This window comes from Homo sapiens, chromosome 1 (assembly GCF_000001405.40).
Source record: "Homo sapiens chromosome 1, GRCh38.p14 Primary Assembly".
NCBI lineage: Eukaryota > Metazoa > Chordata > Mammalia > Primates > Hominidae > Homo > Homo sapiens.
The window spans coordinates 85,388,023-85,414,683 of NC_000001.11; the positions used below are offsets into that span (position 1 = coordinate 85,388,023).

The following is a 26,661-nucleotide window of genomic DNA, read 5'->3' on the forward strand; positions in this document are numbered from 1 at the left end:
CTCACTCATTACTCTGAGGATGGCACCAAGCCTTTCATGAAAGATCTGCCCCCATGACCCAAACACCTCCCACTAGGCTTCACCTCCAACACTGGGGGTCAAATTTCAACATGAGATCTGGAGAGACAAACATCCAAACTATATCACTCAACTTCTACAACTTCTGGTTCCTTGTCTGTAAATTGGAGATCACAATTGTGACTATCTCATAGGGTTGATATGATGATTAAATGAAATAATACATATAAACAGCCTTAATGAAAAGCCTGACACAAAGTGATCCCTCAATCTTAGTTATGTGCCATTACTACTATTGTTAAGAAAAAATAAACTTTCTCTTGAACACCAGTCTTATAAATACAAGTCATATAAATAGACAGTAATTGTCATTAAACTATGAGATTACAGAAATAATGTGAATGAAAAAGTCATTATATAAAAATAATTGTAAGCCTTGTTCACAGTGACCCATGAAAAAATGCAATTGGAATCATAAAAGGAAACAACACACTAAATTTGCCTCATTTTTCTGAGTACCATTTCAAAATCTGTTGTCCAGAATCATTAGAATACTTAATAAAGTGTAAAATGACATGTTACATGAAAAAATCATGAAAATGTCATTATAACAACCCAGAGCCATCTCCTCTTTGGCTTATCTGGATGTAGCACCCAGTAAATCCTAGTAGATAGTAATACTCTAGGACCACCAATGGCTCTCTGAAAAATGTCACAAAGGAGAAAGTGTCACCTTCACTGTGCTCCTGATGAAGCTATTTCTATCTACTTTCAGTGTGGAGTATTTGGCATCCTGACTGACAGTCTGTTTAAAGTTCACCGGCCCAGGATTCACTTAAAGGAATTCAAATAGACGACCCCTAAGAGGCTATGTAGCAAAATGATTACATTCACAGGTTTTGAAATTAAACAACTTGGTTCAAATCCTTTTTCTGATAGTTGCTAGTTGATTGGGAAAGATATTACACTCTGAGCCTCAGTTTCCTCACCCATAAAATGATCATTAACAGTTGTTTTTAGGCCAGGTGTGGTGGCTCACACCTGTAATCCCAGCACTTTGGGAGGCTGAGGCAGGAGGATACCTTGAGCCCAGGAGTTCGAGATCAGCCTGGACAATAAAGTGAGACCCTGTCTCTACTAAAAATGAAAATTAAATGCACTCCAGCCTGGGCAACAGAGTGAGATCCTGTCTCAAAACAAACAAACAAACAAACAAAAACAAACTGGAAAAAATAAAAATAAAAGTTGTTTTTATCTCAAAGCGTTGTGATGAATAAAATGATGTTTATAAAGCTCTTAGCATGGTGACCTACTCAGTAAATGTTCAATAAATATTATTTACTAACTATTAAATTTTAGTCTGGGAGTCTAGACTATCCCATACAGAAGTCTCAGAATACCAACTCTGTGCTACTTCCAGCACTGCTGAGTTATCCATTCACTGAACAGATGTGTGTTGAGTGGCTGATGCTGTCTCAGACCCTGTGCTCAATGCTTTACTCACTTAGTTGAAATCCTCTCATCATGATGGGCTTTATAAGAGATTGTGAGCTCTGTGAGGCTAGAGTCTCTACTCTGATGTTGATGGCTATATAACCATGTAATGTACGGGGACTGGCACAGTGCCTACCAAACAGGAGATGCTAACAAGTTTTATGGAATGAATAAATGAGCAAAGGATGAATGAATACGACACAAGGAAGATTAACTCCTTGACCTAGGGGAACTCATGTTCTAGTTGGGAGTTGGAATTAGCTCCCTAAAAGACAATGGAAGCAAAAAGTGTTAGAGAGGGAATTTTAGAGCCCACCATGCTAGTGGGCTCACCATTAGTAAAATATCAACAATTTCTGTTACAGTTATGCTAATGTAATTCAGTGATAAGAGCAAAAGAATGCATAATCCAAGTTGACGATTCTAGAAGACCTCAACTTCTAACGAAAAACAGAAGCATCTTTTTTACTACTTATCATAGGAAAATAAATTCTAGTCGTTTTTATATCTGAAGTCAAAAGATAGAAAGAAATATGTGGTCGCATATCTTTCTATGTTAAGTCAAGCCCAGTCCTGCCTCAGTGTCCTCACCCTATTTGCTGGTGGTTAGGGGTGTCAATCACCACCTCCCACCTCTTCTCTACCTTATGGCTAATTAGGAAGAGACAAATGACAAATAGGGATCATATATCAGCTTTATCCGGGGTCCCTTGGTAATGGCCAAATTGGAGAACTGGCAAGATCTCCTACCTTCTAGTTAGAACTGAACACAGCCTGATCTGCAATTAGAGTGAATCTGATTTAAAACCCAACTGCACCATCCTCTACTCCACACACCTGTCCCAAGACATTCTACAGCGTATGTGGGGATTATAGGAACTACAAGATGAGATTTGGGTAGGGACACAGCCAAACCATGTCACCTACTGACCTCCAGGAAAGGGAAGGGGGAAGGACTGGAGATTAGACTCCATAAAAACTTCTGAATAACAAGATTTGATAAGCTTTGGGGTTGGGGAACACATGGATATGCTGGGATGTAAGGTACCCAAAGAGGGCATGGGGTTGCCACACCCACCCCCATACCACAGTGCCAGCTTCTTAGACGGTAGTCACAGTAAGTGGTTATTACTGCAGGGGCCTCTTTATTTGTTCTCTTCTTGAGCACTGAGATCTTAGAGCCAAAGCCATCCTAGCTCTGAGAGACCCAAAATCCAACATAAAAATGGGATCCTTAATTTCTAAACATCTGACAACTCTGCCTTCCAGTATGCCTGCCTTTTTCACGTACAGAATTATGGCTCAGGAAGCTGCAAATATCAAATCTTACTACAGATAATATAGAATTATAATGGCTACTATGCAGAATGTTCCAGATGAACAAGACCATTCATATAACTGTACTTGAATCCCAAGTTTCTATAATTAGGCAGAGAGAATGGAATTGTTATTCTAATTGGCATTCAGAAGCCTCAAGCAGACAACAGGATTCTAAAATTGCTTTTTAAAAAAATTCATTGCAAAGAGCTAATAAAAAGTTACAAATGTGAGATATCATCCATACGAAGGACAGTAATATTAACCTGACTTATTCTGCTCCCCTCTGTCTTAAATGCCTTCCTTTTCTGAAAACACAATTAAATGCTTTCTTTATAAGAAAAACCACCCCAAATTCAGGAAGTAATCCCTGAGTGACTTATACTCTTCGGACAAAAACAGAGCCAAGGGCCATAGTTTAAAAAGTTCCTAAACCTACAGAAGACCTCCAAATATTTTCTGAAGAGAAGCCAGGTGTAGTGGCACATGCCTATAACCCCAGCTACTTGGGAGGCTGAGGTGGGAGGATCACTTCAGCCCAGGAGTTTGAGGCTGCAGTGAGTTACGATTATGTCACTGCACTCCAGCCTGGGCGACAGAGTGAGACCCCATCTCTAAATAAATAAATAAATATAGAAAAATGTAGGAAAAATTTAGGGTCTTCACTGAAACTTATAACCCCAGGATATCTGAGCTCAACCAACTAATACACATATTGGTGAGAATTAGAGAAGCCCCAAAATGGGTGAAAGATGCAGAATGGTATTACCTGACAAGCCCTGCCTGGTCCATTATGGAAAGCAGGGAAAAACTGCAAATAACTTTTTGAAAGCCATTACCAAAGTGTTTCAGTTGGATGGCAAACAACAACCTAGGCTGGCCTTTTGGCCTGCTCTGGGGCATTTCTTTAATAAATGGCTGAAAAAACAGTTTCCAAAAAACTGTTGGTATTGGTGCAAACAAGCAGGACATTGGAAAAGAGACTGCCCCAAATATTTCCAGGGAAAACATTATAAACAGGCTGTCTACCCTCTGATAAACTCCACATTGACCACCAGGATTGACAGGCCTTTGGGGGAAGCTCCAGTTGTTATCCTGTAGGTAGACACCAGAACTGTGATTTCTACTTTATCTATTTATTTTTTTTAATTTTTTTTTCAATAGGTTTTGGGGAACAGGTGGTGTTTGGTTACATGAATAAGTTCTTTAGTGGTGATTTCTGAGATTCTACATTAAACTCCATTTTTGTTTTTGTTTTTGGCTTAAGCAACAAAAATGTATTGTCTCAGTTCTGGAGCCTAGCAACTTGAAATCAAGGTATCTGCAGGGTTGGTTCCTTGCTAAGGCTATGAGGAAAGCATCTGTTCTAGGCCTCGTTCCTTGGCTTATAGATAGCTGTCTTCATATTCACATTGTATTATCTTGGTATGCATGTCTATAGGTCCAAATTTCCTCTTCTTATAAAGCCACAGTTATACTGAATTAGGGCCTACTCTAATTACCTCATTTTAATTTGATTACCACTGTGAAGACTCTATCTCCAGATAAGATCACATTCTGAGGTACTAGGGGTTAGGACTTCAACATACGAATTCTGAGAGGGTATCAATTCAACTCATAACATAAGTGCTGCTGAGCTCTTGTTAGAAAATGAACCCGTGGGCTGGGTGTGATGGCTCACACCTGTAATCCCAGTGCTTTGGGAGGCTGAGGCGGGCGGATCACGAGGTCAGGAGTTCGAGACCAGTCTGGCCAACATAGTGAAACCCTGTCTGTACTAAAAATACAAAAATTAGCTGGGCGTGGTGGCATGTGCCTGTAATCCCAGCTACTCGGGAGGCTGAGGCAGGAGAACGGCTTGAACCAGGGAGTCAGAGGTTGCAGTGAGCCGAGATCGCGCCACTGCACTCCAGCCTGGCAACAGAGCAAGACTCTGTCTAAAAAAAAAAAAAAAAAAAAAAAAAAAGAAAGAAAATGAACCCCTGATGACTCTCAGGCCTGACACTTCCCATTTTGAGGTGGGTCAACTACGATGCAACTACAAGGAAAGGAAGTAAAATCTCAGACCCTTCACAGATCCTGACTTCATGGGGACTGATGTAAGAATAAAAGTCCTGCAGTTTCCAAAGGTCTTTGACATGGACACTCTAAGCATCTGACATACATGGCTGATTCCTAGTATTTGGTCTCTCCTAGGTCATTTTGCTCTATAACAATAATTCAGTTGCCCATTCTTTTAATTGTTTTATTCCCTCAAACGAAATATTTATTTTGCACAAGACACTCCTTAATAGCAATAACAACATCAACAACTAATACTTATAGCATTGTTCTGTACACTATGTATCATCTTTACTTCTTAAAATACCCCTCTGAAGGAGATATTATTACCTCTAGTGTACAGATCAGGAGACTGAGGCATAAGTCACACAGTTTAAACTCCACTTGTGGGGACAGTCTCTCCCTCAAAATAAAAAACAAAATTTCAGTTGTGAGGAATATCAAATCCAGTTCTATCCATGAGTCCAGGCAAAGAAAATGCCTTCTTTGTCCTATTCATTAGAGGGCTCTACCCTGAAGACAGTGATCCAATTAATAAACAATCTAAAATGACCACCTATTGTACTAAATTGGTCTCTAAAATACAACTTTCTAACATTTAGCTGGCTATTTAAAAACCCCTTGTAAAAGAAATTTACATCTATGAAGAAAATCTCCATTTCTAAGGGCTTCTCTTTCTTTGCACCTAAAACCATTAGAAATTTTTACAGTGAGAAAGACATTGGCTTAAAATTCACATAACAAACCTTAACTGTGTTTATAGTACTTTTCCTGCCCATCTTGTCTTATGGGGTCTTAATCTTTGCCCTTGTCTCAGCAAATAATGGTGTTTAGATCTCAGTTGTGTGCTTTGAGATGTAAATTTTCTACATTGTCTCACCTAAGAGTCATGTCTTTGGAATGACAAATTTAGGGTTGCCTAGCTAACAATAATTTAAAACAGCAGAACAGGTAATCAGGAGATTGATAATCTAAAGAAGAAAGAGAAACTATTGAAAAACTGGCAAATAGAGAATCTTATAAAAGCTCTAAGATCTGCTTCTGGCTGTGTGTCTGTATGTCTACATGTGTTATATGTATGTGATATTTTGCTACCAAAATATATGAAAAAGCTTTAATTAATTGGCTTAAAGAAAAAGTAAGTGACAAAATATAATATTTCATCAGAAAAACTGCACTAAATGCTATGGTTTGCTGTGTGTCTGCACCAAAATTCGTGTTGAAATTTAACTGCCAATATAACAATGTGGGGAGGTAAAGTCTTTAAGAGATGATTAGGTCAATCACATAGATTAATGTCTTTCTCATGAGACTAGGTTAATTCCACAAGACTGGATTAGTTCTCAAAGGAAAACAGGTTGTTATAAGGTGAGGTCACGCCTGTGTTTTATCCCCTTTCCATGCCTGCTTTCCCTTCTGTTTCTCCACCATGTTATGATGCAACATGAGACACTCACCAGAAGCTGACCAGATGGGCTGCCCCGTCTTGGACTTTCCAGCCTCTAGAATAATGAGCTAAATAAACCACTTTTCTTTACAAATTACCAAGTCTTTGGTATTTTGTTATAGCAAAAGAAAACAGGCTAAGAGACTAACTCAAATACCTTTCAGTTCATGTGACAGGTAAATCTTTGGTAAATAAGGCTAGTTCAATAAAACAGTGTGTCTTCTGACCAACAAAATAACCTCATATTTAACTTTAGGGCTCTTGTTTAGGTAGCAACTAACATTGGCATACTGTAAAAATGGTTAACAAGGAAATAACTTGAGATAGTGGCCAGCTTTGTTTAACGACCAATTGAAGCATAATTTTTAAGAACAAGTAAATTAGGTGAAAGTAAATGAGTTAAAGGTTTTAAATAAACTCTTCATAGTTTCAAAAATCTCAAAGTAACATAATCTTAAAGTCATATGATTAAGTAACATTCCTGAAATGTCAGCCATTTCCAAGTAAGTTAGAATACTGACCCATTAATTGCTAAAAATGATTAAAGTATAGATACTTTGTCATCTTGTGTTGTTATAAAACGTTGGCATATGATAGTTCAAAATTGCTTACTTCCTAGGTTTCACTAGAAATTAAGGTTACTAAAAGTTAAAAATTCTAATTAATATATGTAATTCTATATGCAAAGTATACCAAGAGAAAGTAAAATGTGTTTTGGGTGAAAAAAATTATAAAAAGTCATGAGAATATATTTTTGTAGAAAAGAGTTATTTCAGCTAATTCAAAGGTTAAAGGCTTTTCACAATAAAGATTTATGGAGAAAATGGAAACAAGGCAGGAAGGAACTATTAAGTAGGAAAAAGAGATACAAAAAAGTTGTAAGTCTGAGAATATATTTTTGGTAAAGAAAGTTGAAAACAGACTAATTTTTTTGAATGACAATTCTGTGTGGTCAGAAAGATGAGGGAAAAAGAAAAGTAAATTTTTGCCCTAAGGTAGAATGACTGGTTGTTTCAATATGAAAACGAGGAGATTGGGCGCAGTGGCTCATGCCTGTAGTCCCAGCACTTTGGGAGGCCAAGGTGGGTGGATCACCTGAGGGAGGGAGTTCAAGACCAGCCTGACCAACATGGAGAAACCCTGTCTCTACTAAAAATACAAAATCAGCTGGGCGTGGTGGTGCATGCCTGTAATCTCAGCTACTTGGAAGGCTGAAGGAGGAGAATCGCTTGAACCTGGGAGGCAGAGATTGCGGTGAGCTGAGATCGCACCATTGCACTCCAGCCTAGGCAACAAGAGTGAGACTCCATCTCAAAAAAAAAAAAAGAAAAAAGAAAAAGAAGTGAAGGTTTGAGCAAGCTGCACGAGGTCTTTGCAAGTTTTAGAAGATTTATGGAAGATGAATCTTATGAAAGGAATTTTGAGTGTGATCAAGTTGGCTAAAATTAAAAAAGAATTGTTTTTAGGTTTTTCTAAAAATTAAGCTTTATTTTTAAAATTTTAAAACAAGGTTTTCTTGACATGTACTGATCTTTTCTTATTAAAAAAATTGTGAGACTTTTTAGGTATGTGGCCTAGAAAAGAAAGATTCTGTATTTTGTCAAAATAATTTCTGTGCTTCATGTTTTCTTTCTTAGGTCATTAATTACTTAGGAAAACTGAGTCTCCTCTTTATTATAAGAGTTAAGATTTTCTACAGCTATGTAACTTCTTTTGAAGTATTTTAATTATCATTGTGGCTAAATGAGTATTATATTCAAACACTTGATCAAAAATGTGATCCTATTTTTGATCAAGTGTTTGAATCTTTTTGACAAACTTCCCAAAATGAAATTCTAAGTCTCCTTGTCTTAGTCCCTTTAGAGCTGCTATAAAGGAATACCTAAGGCTGGATAATTTATGAAGAAAAGAGGTTTACTTGACTCACAGTTTTCCTGGCTGGAAGACTGGGCATCTGACAAAAGCCTCAGGAAGCTTCCACTTATGGCAGAAAGCAAAAGGGAGTCACAGTACAGAGATCACATGGCCACAGAGGGAGCAAGAGAGGAGTGGGGAGGTGACAGGCTCTTTTAAACAACCAGCTCTCACAGGAACTAATAGAATGGAAACTCACTCATCGCAAAGAAGACACCAAGCCATTCACGAGGGATCCATCCCCATGACCCAAACACCTCCCATTAAGCCCCACCTCCAGCATTGGGGATCAAATTTCAACATGAGATTTGGGGGACAAACATCCAAACCACAGCCACCTGGAAGTCCAAAAGAGAGATATTAAACCAATTAGGTTTATTTGATATGTTAAATTATATAGGAAATATTGTCAATAAGAGATAACGTTTAACCGTCTTTTCCTTACATTTGTATAGATACGATATTAAAATATTTATTCAGGCCAGGTGTGGTGGCTCACACCTGCAATTCCTGCACTTTGGGAGGCTGAAGTGGGCAGATTGCTTGAGTCCGGGAGTTCAAGACCACCCTGGGCAACATGGTAAAACCCTATTGCTATAAGAAATACAAAGAATAACCAGGCATGGTGGCACACAGGTGTAGTCCTAGCTACTCGGGAGGCTGAGAGGTGGGAGGATCGCCTGAGCCCAGGAGGCAGAGGCTGCAGTGAGCCATGATCACATCACTGCACTCCAGGCTGGGTGATAGTGTGAGACCCTGTCTTAAAAAAAAAAAAAAAGGTTTTTCAAAATTGCATTAAATTTCTAGAAATCAATCATAATTTTGGTTATTATGTTAAAATGTTGTATGCCACAGAAATAACACAATTTCTTTGTCAGCTGCATCATTATAGACTCTCATCAGGTTTTCAATGATGGCTATTTTAAGTCTTATTGTCCTCAGTTAATTGCTTTATTCTGATGCTGTTCTGAAAGCTTTTTGCAAGAACCATAATCTTCAAAGAAGTTCATGGAAAGAATGGAAAAAATTCTGACAAGTACAGGTTTGTGACAACTTTGAGATAGCACTGGATTGGGTAAGAATTTGTAGAACTCTAAGAAAGAAACTGGTAGTTTAGTGAAACTATCAACTAAGATCAAACAGAGCAAGAATTAATTACATTAGACTGAAAAACTGATAAGGAAAAAGTAAGGGTTTTTATTGCTTTTTTATTTAAAACATTGCTGGTTCTCTTAATGTTTTATTTTCCAGATTTAAGAAAACGATTTTTTAAAGCTATCTCTAGCTCACAATGGTTTGGTAGAGTACACTTTTATAAACAAAAATTGAAACATTCCATCTTTCTCCTTAATATGATTATTTTCATAAGCTCAATAAGAATTTGCTCTCTGTATTACACAATACAATTGGAAACACTGGTTTAATTGCCAAGGCTTTGACTGAAATGTAATATTTGAGAATTAATAGAATGCCTCGCTTCAAGGATTCCCAGTGTGATACAGTTTGGATGTTTATCCCCTCTAAATCTCATGCTGAAATCTGATCCCCAGTGTTGAAGGTAGGGCCTGGTGGGAGGCCTCTCTCGCTATGTGACTCTACTGACTCCCCTAGCCTCCTACCATAAGTAAAAGCTTTCTGAGCCCCTCACCGGAAGTTGAGGAGATGCTGGTGCCATGCTTCTTATATAGCCTGCAGAGCTGTAAGCCAAATAAACCTCTTTTTTTTTTTTTTTCATAAATTACCCAGTCTCACATATTCCTTTATAGCAACACAAAGTGGACTTACACACAGCATTACAGTGAGTGAGTAAAAAGTTGTCACTTCCTGGCAGGCCTAGGAACCTCAAGACACTAGATAACCATAGACAAAGTAGACAAAGTCTGATGTCGGCCTTGGTTTGGCTTCCTAGTGATGAGAGGTTTTTAAAAGTATAATCTGAGATTGTTTGTCAAAATTTCCAGCAAATCAAATTTAAAAAGAACTGTGTGGTTATTCTTGCTGTACTTATATACAAATAATCAGGTGAAGTTTAATGAGACGAAACTTATTTTGCAAACAAATTAGTCTTACTCTGATTATCTTTGGTAGAAATGGGGGTGATTATAGACAGAAAAATTATGTTGCAAAAGAAAAACTATAGTACACCTTTTAGTAGATTGCAGCCTTGTTCACTTTTTCCCTAGACTGGACTGGATCCTGAATTCTTTTAGTGCACTACCTCCAGTATCTAGCTTCAACTCTTCAACTAAGAGCAAAAATGCTAAGCTGGACAACTTGATAGAAATTTCAAGGGACAAGTCTCATGTGTGATGTGCGTGCCATACAGAGAGTTCACCAGAATATCTAACGCCACAACCAGGGACATTCAAACTGCAAACCAGGTTGAGAATTTGCTAACTGCATGCCGTGGACAGCTTTTCCCAAGGCCATCAGACGAAGACTTCTTATGATATTCTTACCCCTCTTAATTTTTCCTTGCTTATGCCTACTTCTTTCGCTTGGCAGAATAAGGCTATGGTTAAAGTTTCACAATCCTTAGTTTTTGTGAGTAATCTGACAGCATGTTGAATCTGTTATGTCAAATCTGAATCTTTAAAAAACCTGAGATCCTTTAGTCCACCTAGTGGGTAACTTCAGCAACATCCCTAATATCCCTAATGCAACTGTTTGTTCAAATTGTACTAGTGATCTCTTTTATAGAGTTAGTACTGTCTGTTTTAATTTAACCCATTCCTGGAATGCTATATGATAGAATTGCTACCGACTAAATGAATAGGGAGAAATCTGTGCAATTGCTAATACTTCTTGTTACCCATAGATATAATGAGTATCCGGCCTGGCTCATTCTTTGATCTATTTAATTTCAGTTGGTTTAGTTTATGGGGATCCTAGATAAAGGAGCATACTCCAAACTCCTGGCATTATCCTTTTGATAGTCATAATAGTAGTTTCTCTGGTACACTATATCCTCTCGAAAAGTTTTAAAGGTTGCACACAGCCATTCATCAAACACCAAAGAGTCTCTTTTCTGCTGGAATGACAAAAACTCAAATAAATGCATGATGATGAGTACACCATAACCTATGAATGACTTGTAGAGACCAGAAACCCAGCATGATAATAAGAGTAGCATTAATGCCCTTAGTTTTGGTCATGCACTCACCCAGGTGAAAGCATGACTGAAAGGGGAAAATTGTTAAATACAAAATATAGGAGGCCATTGTTTTGGACTAAGCTTCTGCACTAGGCCCCACAGCTCCTGCATTAGGCCCCAACAGATTTGACTAAAAATCAAAATGGAGTTATCCATGCTGAAGTTCCACATCACCAAACTGAAACTAAGTTGTTATATAACATTCCAAGAAAGCAGGAGAGAGAGATAGCAGCCAATTTCCCAAATAGGCCAATTTCAATCTTCAATCAGTAGGATAATAGTTTCCTCTGTTTTAATCCTTAAAAGTAACCTGATGCTAACCAATCTTTCTATTTTTCTGCCTCCCTGTCCCTGCCTTTCAAGGAAAGTAACTTTGAAATAATCAATCTGTTTTTTGTTCTTCATTTTTGCTTTCCTTAGCCCTTTCTGTCTATAAAACCAACCCCTTCTGTTCAACTCACTGGCAAATTTATTGTATTTTATGGCATAAAATGTTGCCTGATTCTAGAATTGCAATAAAGCCAACCGTGATCTTTAAAACTAAATCTATTGTAATTTTGTTCTTGAAATGCCCAAGTGGACTCAAATATTTTTTTCTTTGGAGAATCTTGGCCTTGTTTTGCTGCATCCCAGCCAATTGTTTAGCAAAAAAACCTTGAGCTCACTGGCATTATTTATCAAAAACAATCAGGGAGGAATGCCTGAAGGACACATAGTCTACTCTTGCAGGAATTCCTTTCTTTTCTTTTCTTTTTTTTTTTTTTTTTTTTTTTTTTTTTTTGAGACGGAGTCTCAATCTGTTGCCCAGGCTGGAAGTACAGTGGTGCAATCTCGACTCACTGCAACCTCCACCTCCTGAGTTCAAGCAATTCTCCTGCCTCAATCTCCTGAGTAGCTGGGATTACAGGTGTGTGCCACTATGCCCAGCTTTTTTTGTTGTTGTTTTTTGTATTTTTAGTAGAGAGAGGGTTTTGCCCTGTTGGCCAAGCTGGTCTTGACTTCCTGATCTCGGGTGATCTGCCTACCTGGGCTTCCCAAAGTGCTGGGATTACGACTTGAGCCACTGTGCCTGGCCTACTCTTGCAGAAATTCTAAAATGTACATCTAATTAGAGAGTTTACTTTCTATAATATTGAATTAACTGAACTGTACCTACTGGTAAAAATGTGGTAGATGATGCTATTTATATCATTACGCACTGTCCACATGGGATCCCCAGGAAGAAATTTTTCTCTGAGCTTAGTAGTAATCACATTTTCACTTCTCAGAATCTGACCTGCCTGTATCTTTAGGCCCTCATAGACTAAAATACCCACCAGGTTCACTTCTTTATGCTGGTGGTTAGAAAGCTTTCAGTGGAATTTGTGACCCATCTGTAACAGTGTGTAGACCATACATTGTGTTCCTGGCCACCTAATGGTAATCATTTTATCTTATTCCTATATCCATCTTTTGATTGGTTCTACCTTTATTATATATATCCTTCCAAGCTGCCTTCTATCCCTTCTGCAGTACAATGGTACATAAATGAAAACCATAAAAATGTAAGCAGAGAGATATGATCCATGCCCACAATGTGATTGCCTTCTTCAAAGACATTGTAGGCAAATGTCCAGGGTTTCTAAAGCTTTATATAATACGAGAACATTGGGCTAAAGAGTGAACACTTTTGAGTACAGCAGACTAACACTATCTCTCATCATTAAAAGGCGATCTTCGTGCTGCTCAAATGTAGCTTTCATAATACACTGCCTTGACACAGTCTAGCAATACAATTACAGGAATCGATCCTTTTTTCCAACAGGTTACAGTCCTAAAATGAAGAGGGCCTACTATGAAAACATTCATGAAAAGTGAAATCTTTCATTATTGGTATCTTCTTTTTACCTGGATTTATTCACTTCCTTGGAGCAGTAGAGAATGACTAAATACATCAGATAAAGATAGGCTAAATAGCACATAAAGAAGAGCATGGTTTATATTTACTTTTAGGAAAAAGAGTTGTAATGAGGATGAAATATAATTTTACCTTGGATTTTAAGAGACGCAGCTTTTCTTTTTTCTTTTTTCTTTCTTTTTTTTTTTTTTTTTGAGGAGGGTTTCACTCTATTGCCCATGCTGGAGTACAGTCGCATGACCAAGGTTCACTGTCACCTTGATCTCCTGGGCCCAAGCAATCCTCCCATCTCAGCCTCCCAAGTAGCTGGGACTACAGGCGCACACTACCATGCCCAGCTAATTTTTAACGATTTTTTTGTAGAGATGGGGTTTCACCACGTTGTCCAGGCTGGTCTCAAACTCCTGCACTCAAGTGATCCACCCACCTCGGCCTCCCAAAGTGCTGGGATTATAGACATGAGCCACTGCACCTGACTAAGAAGCAGCTTTTGAGCTCTTAAAATTCCTATTATTGAACTGTAGAATTAGATTTTCAGTTATATGTAATTTTGTTTTAAAAAGAAGCACAATTACTATCTTACTTAAAAGAAAACATTTTCAAAACTATTTTGCATCTTGTTCCTTTTTAATGTGTTCTGAAGGCAATGTATTTTATTTTACTTTAATTAATTTTTTTAGAGACAGGGTCTTGCTATGTCACCCAGGCTAGAGTGCAGTGCTGCAATCACAGCTCACTACAGCCTCAAACTCTTGGGCTCAAGCAATCCTCCTGCCTCAGCCCCTCAAATGGCTAAGACTACAGGTACGCAACCACCACTCCCAGCTAATACTTCTATTTTTTTTTTTTTTTTTTTTGGTACAGACAGGGTCTCACTACGTAGCCCAGGCTTATCTTGAACTTTTAGCCTCAGTGATCCTCCTGCCTTGGCCTCTGAAAGTGCTGGGATTACAGGTGTGAGCCACTGTGCCCAGGCCTGAAAGTACAGTCTTTTAAAAAATCTGCCTCCAATTTCTTTCTTCTAGCCAGGGTCTAAGTGTGAATGCTTTTCTTCAAGCAGAGTCTTTCAACTATAGCAAATAAGGCTACTTGTCAAACTATTCTTATAGACAAAATATTTTCAAAAATATTTTCAGTACAAATTAATTTACCATGCTGTTTTTATCTCAGATTTGATATTTTCTTCAGAAATGTATAATTTCAGTTACAAATACTAAGATATAAAAATGCTTTGTATATTTTTCTGGTAAATATAGCTGAACTAAGATTACATTTCTAGAAAACACAATTAATAAAAATCTTCTGGCCGGACGCGGTGGTTCACGCCTGTAATCCCAGCACTTTGGGAGGCCGAGGCGGTGGATCACGAGGTCAGGAGATCGAGATGATCCTGGCCAACATGGTGAAACCCCGTCTCTACTAAAAATACAAAAAATTAGCCAGACACGGTGGTGGGCACCTGTAGTTCCAGCTACTTGGGAGGCTGAGACAGGAGAATGGCGTGAACCCGGGAGGCAGAGCTTGCAGTGAGCCGAGATAGCGCCACTGCACTCCAGCCTGGGTGACAGAGCGAGACTCCATCTCAAAAAAAAAAAAAAAAAACTTCTGACAATTCTCATTTTTTGCTCCAAAAATATTAGTTTAACCTCCACAGATACCTGTTTTCTTAAGCATGCTGGGTATGTACCCATGGAGGAGTGTCTGTTCCAAGTGATAAGAAGGGATCTGTGTGTGTTGGCTGTGGACTGGGACTGTCCCTTAGGGACTGCTAATGTTTGATCTGGTGAGTAACAATCACAAGTTTGAGGGAAATTTTCCCTTGGATATGTAAACTCCTAGATTTACCACATATATACATATACCTATATATATATGAATATATATATGAATATGTATGTGAATATATATGTGTGTATATATACACACACACATGCATGTACACATATATACATATACATATATGTGTATGTATATATATGTATGTAAAGTAAAACAGAATAGTTATATCCAAAGAAAAAAAAATCTGAAAAGAATAATTCAAAACGTGCGAGACACACTGTACTTAAAATGTACTTGAAGGCTTGTTTCTGTAAGGGTTGCCTAAACATCCCTAGGCTCTACTCTTCAGGAATCTTATTTCCAGGCACAGTGTCCTGGAGCATTTGCAATTTTTCAATTGGAACTCTCAGCACTTTACTTTAAAAATAGTCTAAAGTCAGAAACTGAAATAGTGATCTATTTTTCAACCCCCAAATTGCTCCTTAGTCAATATAACGCTGAACATTTCTGAACAAAGGATTCTTAAGGCTGGCTGTGGTTCAGGCAAGTCCTAAACTTATTAAGGGTAAAATAAGTTATTCACAAAAGAAAAAATATATAGTCTATTCTCAGTTGGAGAAAGATCTATTTTCCCCCAAAACTGAATTATGTATTAAATCAGTTCAAATTTTATTTTGGACCATTAATCTGTAATTTAACATAGTTGTTAAAATAAACGGATGTTTCAGTCTATTTTATGTCAAGTTGTTTACTAGAAAAATAATTCAATGGGTAGAACATTTAAAATATTGTTTTCCCTGTGTGCTTACTTACAAATGGATACATGTTGTACTCTTGGCAAAATTTACTTGTTACATTTTAACAATGTAATTGCTGACAATAAACACATTAGTACAAAACAATTTCTATATCTTAAATCACAACTATATTCCTCCTGCCACTTTTAGTAGGATAATGAATATTTCTATAACTAGTTTTTAACAAGTTTCTAAAATATTTTTAAGCCCATACGAAAGAAAAAAAAGGCTTATGGAATTTTTCTTTAAGAACTACATATTATATTTCACAAATAAAGCTAAACAGAAAAATGCAGATCAACATTACAATTCGCAAGTATTGAGCATTTAATGACCTCCATTTCTAGAATCCACTTCTTAGAAGATGCCACCAGTTCATATTGACCCATTATACATGAAACTTCTGCCTGTAGGATTGCAGTTGACAAAGCCTGAAAGACCACATTCTAGAAGGTACTGCTAAGCTTCATTTGTCCTTACCATAGCTGACTGCCATCAAATTGCCATCCAGAACTGCTTTTGGGAAGCAGTTCCTCCGCAATCTTTTCAACAGATTCCCTGTTTTAACATCCACCTGTGTTACTGAAGAACAGTCTGACCCGGATTGAGCCATGGAGCAAATAATAACACTAACTGCAGCTCCAGACAGAAAAAAAAATAGGAGTTCATTTTCCAGACTCTTGTGGGAATACAGAGCATGTCTGCTGAAACCGAATCCAAGAGTTCAATGATACTGTAGACTCAAGTATTTCTTTAAATTCCACGTAATAGCTTTTCCGTTCTTGGTGTTTTATAACACACTTCTGAGCCATGATTCAGAAAGTGAGGGAAATTCTCTGTCTTTCTCTCTCTCTCTCAAGTTGAGTTATATAAAAATTACAATTGTAAGGTGAAGCTCTAACAGAAGGCCACAGGAGTTGCTATATGTACTGTTCTCACTGACCCATCACTGCAACTTAAGTCAGTTCATGTGGACTTTCTTTGAGGGAACGCCATTTCTTTAGGCATTAAATCTAAACTTCTTTCCTTTGGGTTTTGTTTTGCTTCATTTTTGCCAGACTCTACAATCCGCCCTAGAAAGCCTGAGTATTACATCTTCATTCTGTCATTTTCAACCCTGTTTTCTCTCTTGACAAGGATAGACATGTTATTTTGCTGATATCACTGTTGAGTTGTATGAGGCCTTCTCCCTTTATGCAGGGGCCACCAGAGTAATCAGTTTTATGTAGCTGCCACTTCATACTACTGTATCCTAACAGCAGACATGCTAGCAATTCTCTTCAGTTTAATTCAATAAATTGGCCACATGGGTCTATTTATTAGCTGATATTGGCCTCCAACATCTAATATAACAAATATTACCGAAAAGAAATAGGGTTGAAACTATACCTAAGATTACAGAGGGAAATAGTCAAGCATCTGAGGAAAAGATCTTGTTTTTCCCTGCTATTAAAAAACTTAACTGTAAAAAACACTGTATGTAGTTCTATAGACGGCATGCATCATCAGGCTGTGAGTACAGACACGGAGATGGTTCCTTTAAATAAACACAGGTGTCAGGACGCTTAAGCATGTAAATGGAGGTCACACCTTATTTTTTCTGTAAGCTTAAAGTCTTAAAAAGTCGTGGTCTGGATCAACAGGAGCAGGGGCTGTATCAAGGCATGGTCCATTCCCTGCTCCGCATTTGGCTGGGAAAGACTTGGTCCTTGGCTGGATCTAAAAAGTGCCCTAAAAAAAAAAGCCCTACTTTATAGCAGTGAATAGTAAACTGGAGATAGCATGTTGGAATACAAGTCTTGAGAGAAGGTGGAATCCTCTATGAAAAAGAGAGAGCCTCAGAGAGGGGAGACAAGAACCCAAGAATCACAAATGTTTTGTTTCTCTGCAAGAAAGAATGCCAAGGTGCAAGACTATCCCGTTCTCTTATTCCAAGCTGCCCTCATGTAATGAATGCTCTCAGCCACTCACTCGAATACGTTTCTTTTGAAATTAGAAGTAAAACCTAACACTTATGTTGCCAACTTAAAGAGGTTTGGTTGTATTTAAGAGCACACGGATATTAGCCTCCAACAGTTTTAAAGAAGCTAAGAACTGACATTTATCCAGGACCCACTATGTGCCAGGGCTACCTACCATGTTTCCTCATTTGAATTCCATAACCACCCATGGTGGTGTGCATTATTATGTTTACTTTATAAATGTGAAAGTTGGAGCCCAAAGATGAGGAGTAATTTGTTCAAGGCCACACTGTCTAGAACATGGAGCAACCAGGCCTGTCCAATTCCAAAAGCCACGTTCTATCTCAAAAGCTTCTTTTAGAATATTTGATACAGTCCTCATAGAGATTTATGAAATAGAATTTTATCTTGAGAAACTAAGAAACACAGAAGAGAAGCTTTCCTCATCACTACATCTGGATCCAATAAACTTAAAAATATTTTTTTAAGATACATTACATTTGGTTTCTTTCTCTTTTTAAATTTGTAGTCCAAATTATCCCCATCCTCTCAGCAAAATGAAATAGTAACCTCTATGATAAATTATGAGATTATCTATAATGTGAAATCATCATGAAGTCCAAAGAGAAAAGAAATGAAACAACTATTATGTTTTAAAACTTGAAATATTCAAGAAGGATACATATAGAATATACATTTTTAAAAAATTAATTTTTTAATTAACAAAAATTGTGTATGTTTATGGCATGCAGCATTATGCTTTGAAATATGTATACATTGTGGAATGGCTGAATCAGGCATATGGCTTACCTCATATACTGATCATTTATTTGTGGTGAGAACACGTAAAAATATACTCCTTTAGTTTTTGAGTATACGAAGCACTGTTATTACATATAGAGAACAGAATATACTATAAACATTCATAAAGGGCAAGCTGAAAAAATTACATTCCTTTATTTCATGGTAGTTTTAAATTTTTATATTAAAAACTATTATATTAAAGCTTTAAAATAAAATGCTATATTACAAGGGTCTTTATGACTCAAAGAGAAACAAGGAAAATTAGAGTATATTTCATAAAATTTAAAGGAAAGCTCTTTTATTTGAAATATATAAGAAGAAAAACACATTATATTTCTTTAAGAGACTTTAGACCTTCCTCCTTGAGTTTTTGTTTTTCATGTGTCCACTTTTTAAATGTTTCCATTTCCTCCACACACATATTTCTGAAGAGTTATGAGCAGGAAGTTTTCTCACGTATTTTCCCAAGTAGAAAGGCCTCCAGCTGCACACAGACTTTCCCATTGCCCCAGTATTAAAGTTCTGGGTAAAATTTTAATTACTAATTTAGGAAAGATGAGACATTTTAAAATTTAATACAGTTTGCCCTTTTTACAGACCATGTAGAATAAAGCCTCAGTATGCTTGAAAAAATCTCTTAGCAACTGAGAGCGGAGCTGGCCAACAATGGATGATTCATTGATTTAGCTTGAGTGTGCAGGAATGTCTGCCAAAAGGTCTGAATAAACTCACATTGCTAGACACTATGGTAAAATGTACCCTGACCTCTTTTAAAACTCTATCAGAGCGGAAAGTTAAACTTGCAGCTTTCCAGCAATTCACTGGCATCTGGAAACACACTTGAATTATAATATCTTGCTTTTATAACAATCGATAGATTATTATTTTCACCTAATTAGACAATGGCTGCTACTAATTGGAGGTTTCTAAGGGGACACCACCGTGCTTTTAAGCACTAAAAATAATGGTTTCCTATTCAATTTAAATCTGAAAGGAGGCTTTTTGAAATCCCAAACTGAAAGAACTGATTGTTGGTTTTTGGTAATATTGACCCAAGGGTTATGAAACATTACCCTAAACAATAATTTGTGCATTTAAAATTGGTAAACATTATGTAACAGATATCCCATGTCTCTAAGTTTATGCATACATGTAAAGATTATATATACCAGGACATCCTAGCTTATATTTATATAAAATTCAAAAAGCTCGGCTCTTTTGGTTACATCTATCATTTGTCTCCTCAACATCCTTTTTAGGGGCAAGTATTATTTCTCCTGCTTTAGAACTGGAAGACCACGCATGTGGAATTTTAAATTGTTGGCTTGCATTCATAGGTATTCAAATCAAGTGCAGGCCCGGGCTTACAAATGGATATTCTAGTTTAAAATTGAGTATTAGACGCATTGCACTACTTTATCACTCACAACTTCAGCAGCTATAATAAAAATAATCCATGAAACCAAATCCTTGTTTCCCAGTGGTGAACAAAGATATACTTCCTGGTTTCTTTTGCCCTTCACAAATGTAAGCATAGAGCATGGAACGTTCTGCCTTGAAAGAGCTGTGCTTTTGTCTGCTTTACTTCTTCTTCCTCATCTTTCCCCTTACCTTTTTCTCCTTCTTCCTTTTTTTTTTTTTATCTTTTTGTGGTAAAATATTCAGGATTAACTGAACAATTCTCTGCTCCACCCCAGAGGTAACCATGTTTATCAATTTGAAGTACTCCTTTTCATATTGTTTTGTGGAGCATTTCCATGATTAAATGAACACATAAAGGTATATCATTTTGATTTACATGTTTTCCCTGTTTAATATATTATCACATATTGTTCTATAACTTACTTTACAAAAAAAGTACTTCTTGGAAATCTTTTCATACCTGTACATTTGAATCCATTTCATTTTTAAAATTGCTAAAAAGTATGTCACAGTGTTAGCTTACTTTCTGAAATGGGGCAAGTTATACACATCCACTAAAAATACAGCTGTTCTTCCAGAATAACCTAGATGGTCATATAGAACAAAACAGCATATGGAAAAGTACAAATGAGTGAAGAAATTTAGCCTATTTTTTTTAACTTACTTCACTCTTGACAATTATATGTATCCAATAGCACCAGAGGCAATGAATGGGCTTGTTACACTGGATGCTAAAATCCAAGTAGTAAGACGAATATGATGGGGATCTTGCCAGAAAGGGGCCTTGTCACTTGGAGCAGAGGAGTAGAGAGCTTTATGGGTCAAAGCTGAATAGAACACACACGGTTCCTGCCCTCATGGGGGTAACAGTCTAACTCTTAAAGACCTTCCAACTTCACCCCTCCTTTCCATTCCCACAGTAACTGATAGTCTAGACCAAACTTGTCCAACCCACAACCTGCATGCCACATGCAGCCCAGGATGGCTTTGAATGCAGCCGAACACAAATTCACAAACTTTCTTAAAACATTATGAGATTTTTTTGATGATTTTTTTTTAGCTCACCAGCTATTGTTAGTCTTGGTACATTACATGTGTGGCCCAAGACAATTTTTCTTCTTCCAGTGTGCCCCAGGGAAGCCAAAAGATTGGACACCCCTGGTCCAGACTTTCCACATTTCTGGTGTGAACTATTGCAGGAACCCCTATGTGGTTTTCTTGAGTCTAGTGTCTTGAACTGCTAATCCACAGCAGAGATATTCCCAAAGAGAAAGATCTGATCATGTCACTGCCCAAATGAAACACCTTCATTATTTTCCCTTAAATGACAATACAGGACAAAGTGTAATCATCTCAACCTGACATTCACAGTCTAACTTCCCAATTTTTCTCCTGTTACTTTAAGTTCTAGTCACATCAAACTTCCTACTGGTCTGTGGAGATTCTACGTCACACTTCTATGCTTTTTCACATACTGCCTAAAACGTTGTTTACCTTTTTCCACCTGGATCTCCTGCTTGTTGCTCTACACCGGCTTCAACATTGCCTCTTTGGTAAAGGGCTACCTGACTTCCACAGCAGGGATTTACTTCTTCTGTGCTCCCAAAGCAGGTTGCATTCACCTCTATAATGGCATTTCATGCTGTTTCAGCATTATTTGTAATGCATATATAAGTTTTCAACTTTATTTATAAGAAATTGTACATATTAGTTAAAAATCAATTGTGAAGCACCTACCTATGCTAAAGTTTTTGTCAAATCTTAAGTTATCAGTCATAACTCATTGCTATACTAGTCCTCAGCCCTACTTGAGTTGTTGGACTGCAAGTTAATTGGGAAGATCCAAAGCCAATTGTAATCATAACAATTCTCCTTATGTATATATCAACAGAGATTATGAAATTATAGATTAGCTGAGCACAGTGGCTCAGGCCTGTAATCCCAGCACTTTGGGAGGCTGAGGCGGGAGGATCACTTGAGCCCAGGAGTTCAAGACCAGCCTGGGCAACATGGCACAACCCCATCTCTACAAAAAATACAAAAATTAGCCAGGCACACTGCCAAACACCTGTAGTCCCAGCTACACGGGAGGCCGAGGTGGGATAATCGCCTGAGCCTGGGAGGTGGAGACTGCAGTGAGCTGTGATCATGCCCCTATACTCCAGCCTCAGCAACAGAGTGAGACCCTTTCTCAAGGGAAAAAAAATAGATCTACAGAAATTTCCTTAAAATGTAATAATGTTTATCTCTTTTTGAGAAAAAGGAAATGAGGCCGGGCATGGTGGCCCATGCCTGTAATCCCAGCACTTTGGGAGGCTGAGGCGGGTGGATCACCTGAGTTTGGGAGTTTGAGACCAGCCTGACCAACATGAAGAAACCCCATCTCTACTAAAAATACAAAATTAGCTGGGCATGGTGGCACATGCCTGTAATCCCAGCTATTCAGGAGGCTGAGGCAGGAGAATCACTTGAACCTGGGAGGTGGAGGTTGTGGTGAGCCGAGATGGCACCATTGCACTCCAGCCTGCAATAAGAGCGAAGCTCTGCCTCAAAAAAAAAAAAAAAATGGAAATGAGGTTAACATTGAATATTCTGGGGTTCAGGTACTGAGTATAATTGAGTTTAAAACACATAATTTGAATAAATTTTTAAAGATGACTTTGTAGTAGTTGGCTTGACCTAGTCCTAAGAATACTTTGATTCTCAATTTTACCTAAGTTTGTATCATAAATAATTCTTTGCTTCCCTGCTAGAATGCCAAAGTATACAAGCCAATGAGAAATATCCCCCTGCTTCTGGTGGAATATGAACCTATAAGAAGCAGGCATTCTGATGACAGGTGTGGGAAAGAGGGAGGGAGACAGTATAAAAGGGTAGAGTCAACCATCAAAGAACTCGTAGGCTGTTGTAGATAGCACTGTTCATCCATGGAGCTGAGATGATGTCTTGAGACCCAACTCTACCCAAGCATATTCTTCATAGGTCCACTGACTGAGTGTCTTGGCGGGGATCCTGACCAGCTATCTTAGTCTAGCCCACAAGTTATCACAGCATCACAAAAAACACTGCAGTGCATATGAAAACATTTAACCACTGTCATCCATGAAACAGACCAATAACAGTTGACAGTGAGGCAGGAGTCTAAGAAATAGCAATAAATTGTTATGAATTGCCTGGAATTAATAAATTAAACATTTGGAACAATTGCAGTAAGTAGCTTAGAGTAATATTTAAAAAACAAACGACAAGTGTTAAGGTCAAGTAGGTCAAACAGAGGAATTCACATAACTAGAGAAACAATTAGAAAGGTAACAGGCCTGCCTTAATCAGGATGCTCATTTGCTTGACAAAGTAAATTTTGACCCTGATGAGGGGACTGATGCTGTGTTCACTACCATGCTGTGCTGTCCTTCTGTCTTCTACACCAAATTGCATGAGCTCATCTGGGGGCAGGGACTGTCTTTCATTTCTAGACTCCCTAGCTCTTAGCAAAATGGCTGTCCTGTATACATCTGTCTAGATATAGATCAGGACAACAGACAATTAATTCTATTGGGTCCTAAATATAAAGACTATGAAAGAGACATCTGCAGTTCCTGATAGCTGCCATGATGGCAACTGCTGAGCCATTTGAAGGTAAACGCTGTGTTTCACTATGATTCTGAGGCTCCCCATGGGGACTGCTGCTGCTGCAGATTCCTTAGAAGTATTCTGATCATGCTGGCTTCTGCTCTGAAAGGGAGGAATCTTGAGAAACCAGAGAAAGGTCAGCCGACACCTCAGCCTCAGCACTGTGGAGGTCAATCAATAGCTGGAAGAGGGTATAGAAAGGAATAAAAGCAGAACCTCCAATCTACCAAGGCCTGCAGGAATTTTCTCCACTGATATCATTAGAACTTCCGTCTAAATTATCCCACTGATATAGAATGTACTTGTGGAATTTAAGAGAGGCATTGGACTGATTTTTAAAATTCCTACATGTACCAAATTCCAGACATAGTGCCAATGGCAGAGAAAAGAATATTTTTTTAAAAAATTAACTTAAAACATGTGAAAGGTTTTGTTTTAAGGCCTGCAATAGTCTCTTGTTTACTATAAACTGTCTTTATAATTCAACTCCATGTGACTACAGGAATTTCTTGAGTCGGAGTCTACTATGTCATGCTAGAGGCTCTAACGCTATTTGTTAAGTGACACAAATGAACACAGAAATAATCAGTCTACTGTTAGAACACACTGAATTTCATCTTTCAGGGTCTTCTAACAATTGTTCATCTGCCTCTTCTAGCTAGTCCCTCATGGCAAACCACAATGACCCCTTCACTCAACACAAGACGATCTTCCTGTGACTGAAGTCTCTTGGTCATTACTGGCTCTAAGCCTTTGCTCGGTTATTTCTTTCACTGAGAACATCTTCCCCTCTTCTTTACTACCAATCGGTGTAGTATGGCCCAAAACTTCCCCTTTATTTCCCCCTAATCCCACCTCTTTTTGGCTTCATCATGTTGAAGGCATCTGTTGAGAGGACATTTGTACCCCTCATCCTTGGAAAAGCATCAAGGTAGTTCCTTAGAGAATGATGAGAACTGGTCTAAAGAACAGTGCAAATGGCATGTATAAAATATTTTGAGGGCCAGGCATGGTGGCCTGCACCTGTAATCCCAGCACTTACAGAGGCCAAGACAGGCACATTGCTTGAGCCCAGGAGTTCGAGACCAGCCTGAGTAACATGGCAAGACCTTGTCTCTACAGAAAACTAAAAAATTAGCTGGGCATGGTGGCACACACCTTTAGACCCATCTACTTGGGAGACTGAGGTGGGAGGACTGATTGAGCCTAGCAGGTCGAGGTATCAGTGAGCTGTGATGGTGCCACTGTACTCCAGCCTGGGTGACAGAGCAAGACCCTCTCTCAAAAAATAAATTTTTCTGAGGAAGGATTACTTTGTTAATATATTCTAGAAATATATAGCCAGAGAAAAACGTAAAATAAATCTATTACCATGAATACCTACACACCAGGCTGCTACATGACTATTACCATTATCAAGTTCTCACTACTTTTGATGGAATCAAGGAAATTTAGTGCACTTTAAACAACTGAACTGCATCTATGATAAGTGGAAAGTAAAGGAAATTTACTTAAAGTTTTACCATTTAAGGACACTGGATCCCAGTCCTATGAACCTGTGCCTTAGCACGTATTTTTTGCAGCTGCTGATACACTGAAGAGCCAAAGCTAAGCTTTGAAAGTTTGGATTCCTGTGTGTTGTGATAATCAGCTGGGGTTTGGAAATGCCTTCAAAAATCTAATGCTCTGGCCCTTTAACAAGGCTTCTGAAAAAACAATTTAACATCTGGAATCAAGTATTTTGTGGAAGTCCAAGACCAACAGGGCAAAGAACATTTCTTTCAGTAACAGTTAAAATGTGGCACTTCCTTCTCCTTCATCAAATAAATGGGTTTATTTAACAAAGATCCTGAGGTAGTTTATAATAAGTAAAATATGGCATAGAAGCAAGGTATAGAAAACAGGATACTCCAGATATTTATCACTGAAAGTCTTTCCTAAATATGCTGCTTTATTCTTCCAGCATCATTTTCTTTTCCAAAATTCAAATCCGAAAAACAATCGAAGTCAAGCCTTCTTCATTTAACCTTTCTAAGAGACTGCAGAGTGAGGATGAGTAAAGAAATTATAGAGTTCATCTTTCATCTTTTCCAACATACTTCAGAAGAAGACAAAAACAGTAACTGAATGTATGAATTTCTTAAGTCTTTGGGTAGCTACAGTAACTCATATCAAATGCAAAAACAGAAGTGGTTATATCTATTGAATGTTGACTAATTCTCTACAGATTTTAGATATTGTTTAAAACAACATATGAAAATGTGTTTCCTACTAAAATAATAACAGATGACATTTATTGTATGCTTAACATGTATCAGGTCAGGCACTGTACATTTAACTTTCAAAATAATTGTTATCCTTTTCTTCTTGTGATGAGTAATTAATACAGTGGTATGGTAGAACTGGCATAGAGAGAGACAAATAGAACAATAAAATAGAAGGATTAGAACCCAGAAACAGATCCACACATATATAGGGCTATAGCTCACAACAAAGAGAGCATTGTAGATCAGCAGGAAAAGGACAGACCATTCAATAATGGTGCCAGGAGAGTTAGTTCTCCATATACGGTGTGGGTAACAAGAAAAAGAAGGAAATTGGATCCCATCCTCACACAATATATAAGAATACATTCCAAATGGAAGTAAGGTCTTAAACATGAAAGGCAAAATGCTAAAGCTTTTAGAAGACAATATAAAGAAAGGATCTGACCACGTTAAAATTAAGAGCTCTGGTTCATCATCAAAAAGTACCACAGAGTAAAAAGGCAAGCCACAAACTTGGAGACAATCTTTGCAACACACACAATCAACAAAGGATGTTTCCAGAACATATAAAGAATTCCTCTGAAAAAGAGAAACAACTCAATAGAAAAATGGACAATTGATCGATAGGTACAGTGTTTCTCTTCCACTTTCTAAGAAATGGAGGAGAGAGATTCTCCTTTACCCACTAACCTACAATGC

The 26,661-nt window shown here is 37.8% G+C and overlaps 1 protein-coding gene across 7 annotated transcripts in view, besides 1 other annotated feature; it reads right to left on the bottom strand.

Moving 5' to 3' along the window:
• DDAH1 (dimethylarginine dimethylaminohydrolase 1) overlaps nt 1–26,661 on the bottom strand; it is a 259,716-nt gene that overhangs the window by 69,538 nt on the left and 163,517 nt on the right. For 2 of the 7 annotated variants that reach the window (NM_001330655.2, XM_047416630.1), the window contains exon 1: nt 16,359–16,484. The exons of the other annotated variants lie outside the window; for them this stretch is intronic. In NM_001330655.2, the coding sequence (NP_001317584.1) occupies nt 16,359–16,361 (3 nt within the window). In that variant the 5' untranslated portion in view covers nt 16,362–16,484. Of the gene's footprint in view, nt 1–16,358; nt 16,485–26,661 lie in introns of those variants that run through there. 7 annotated transcript variants of the gene reach the window in all.
• Nucleotides 6,024–6,801: an enhancer, noted in NCBI's record as "NANOG-H3K27ac hESC enhancer chr1:85859729-85860506 (GRCh37/hg19 assembly coordinates)". NCBI's record gives its function as "activates a minimal SCP1, AML or CMV promoter by ChIP-STARR-seq in primed H9 embryonic stem cells {active_cell/tissue: H9 hESC(primed)}" and the evidence as "EXISTENCE:reporter gene assay evidence [ECO:0000049][PMID:30033119]".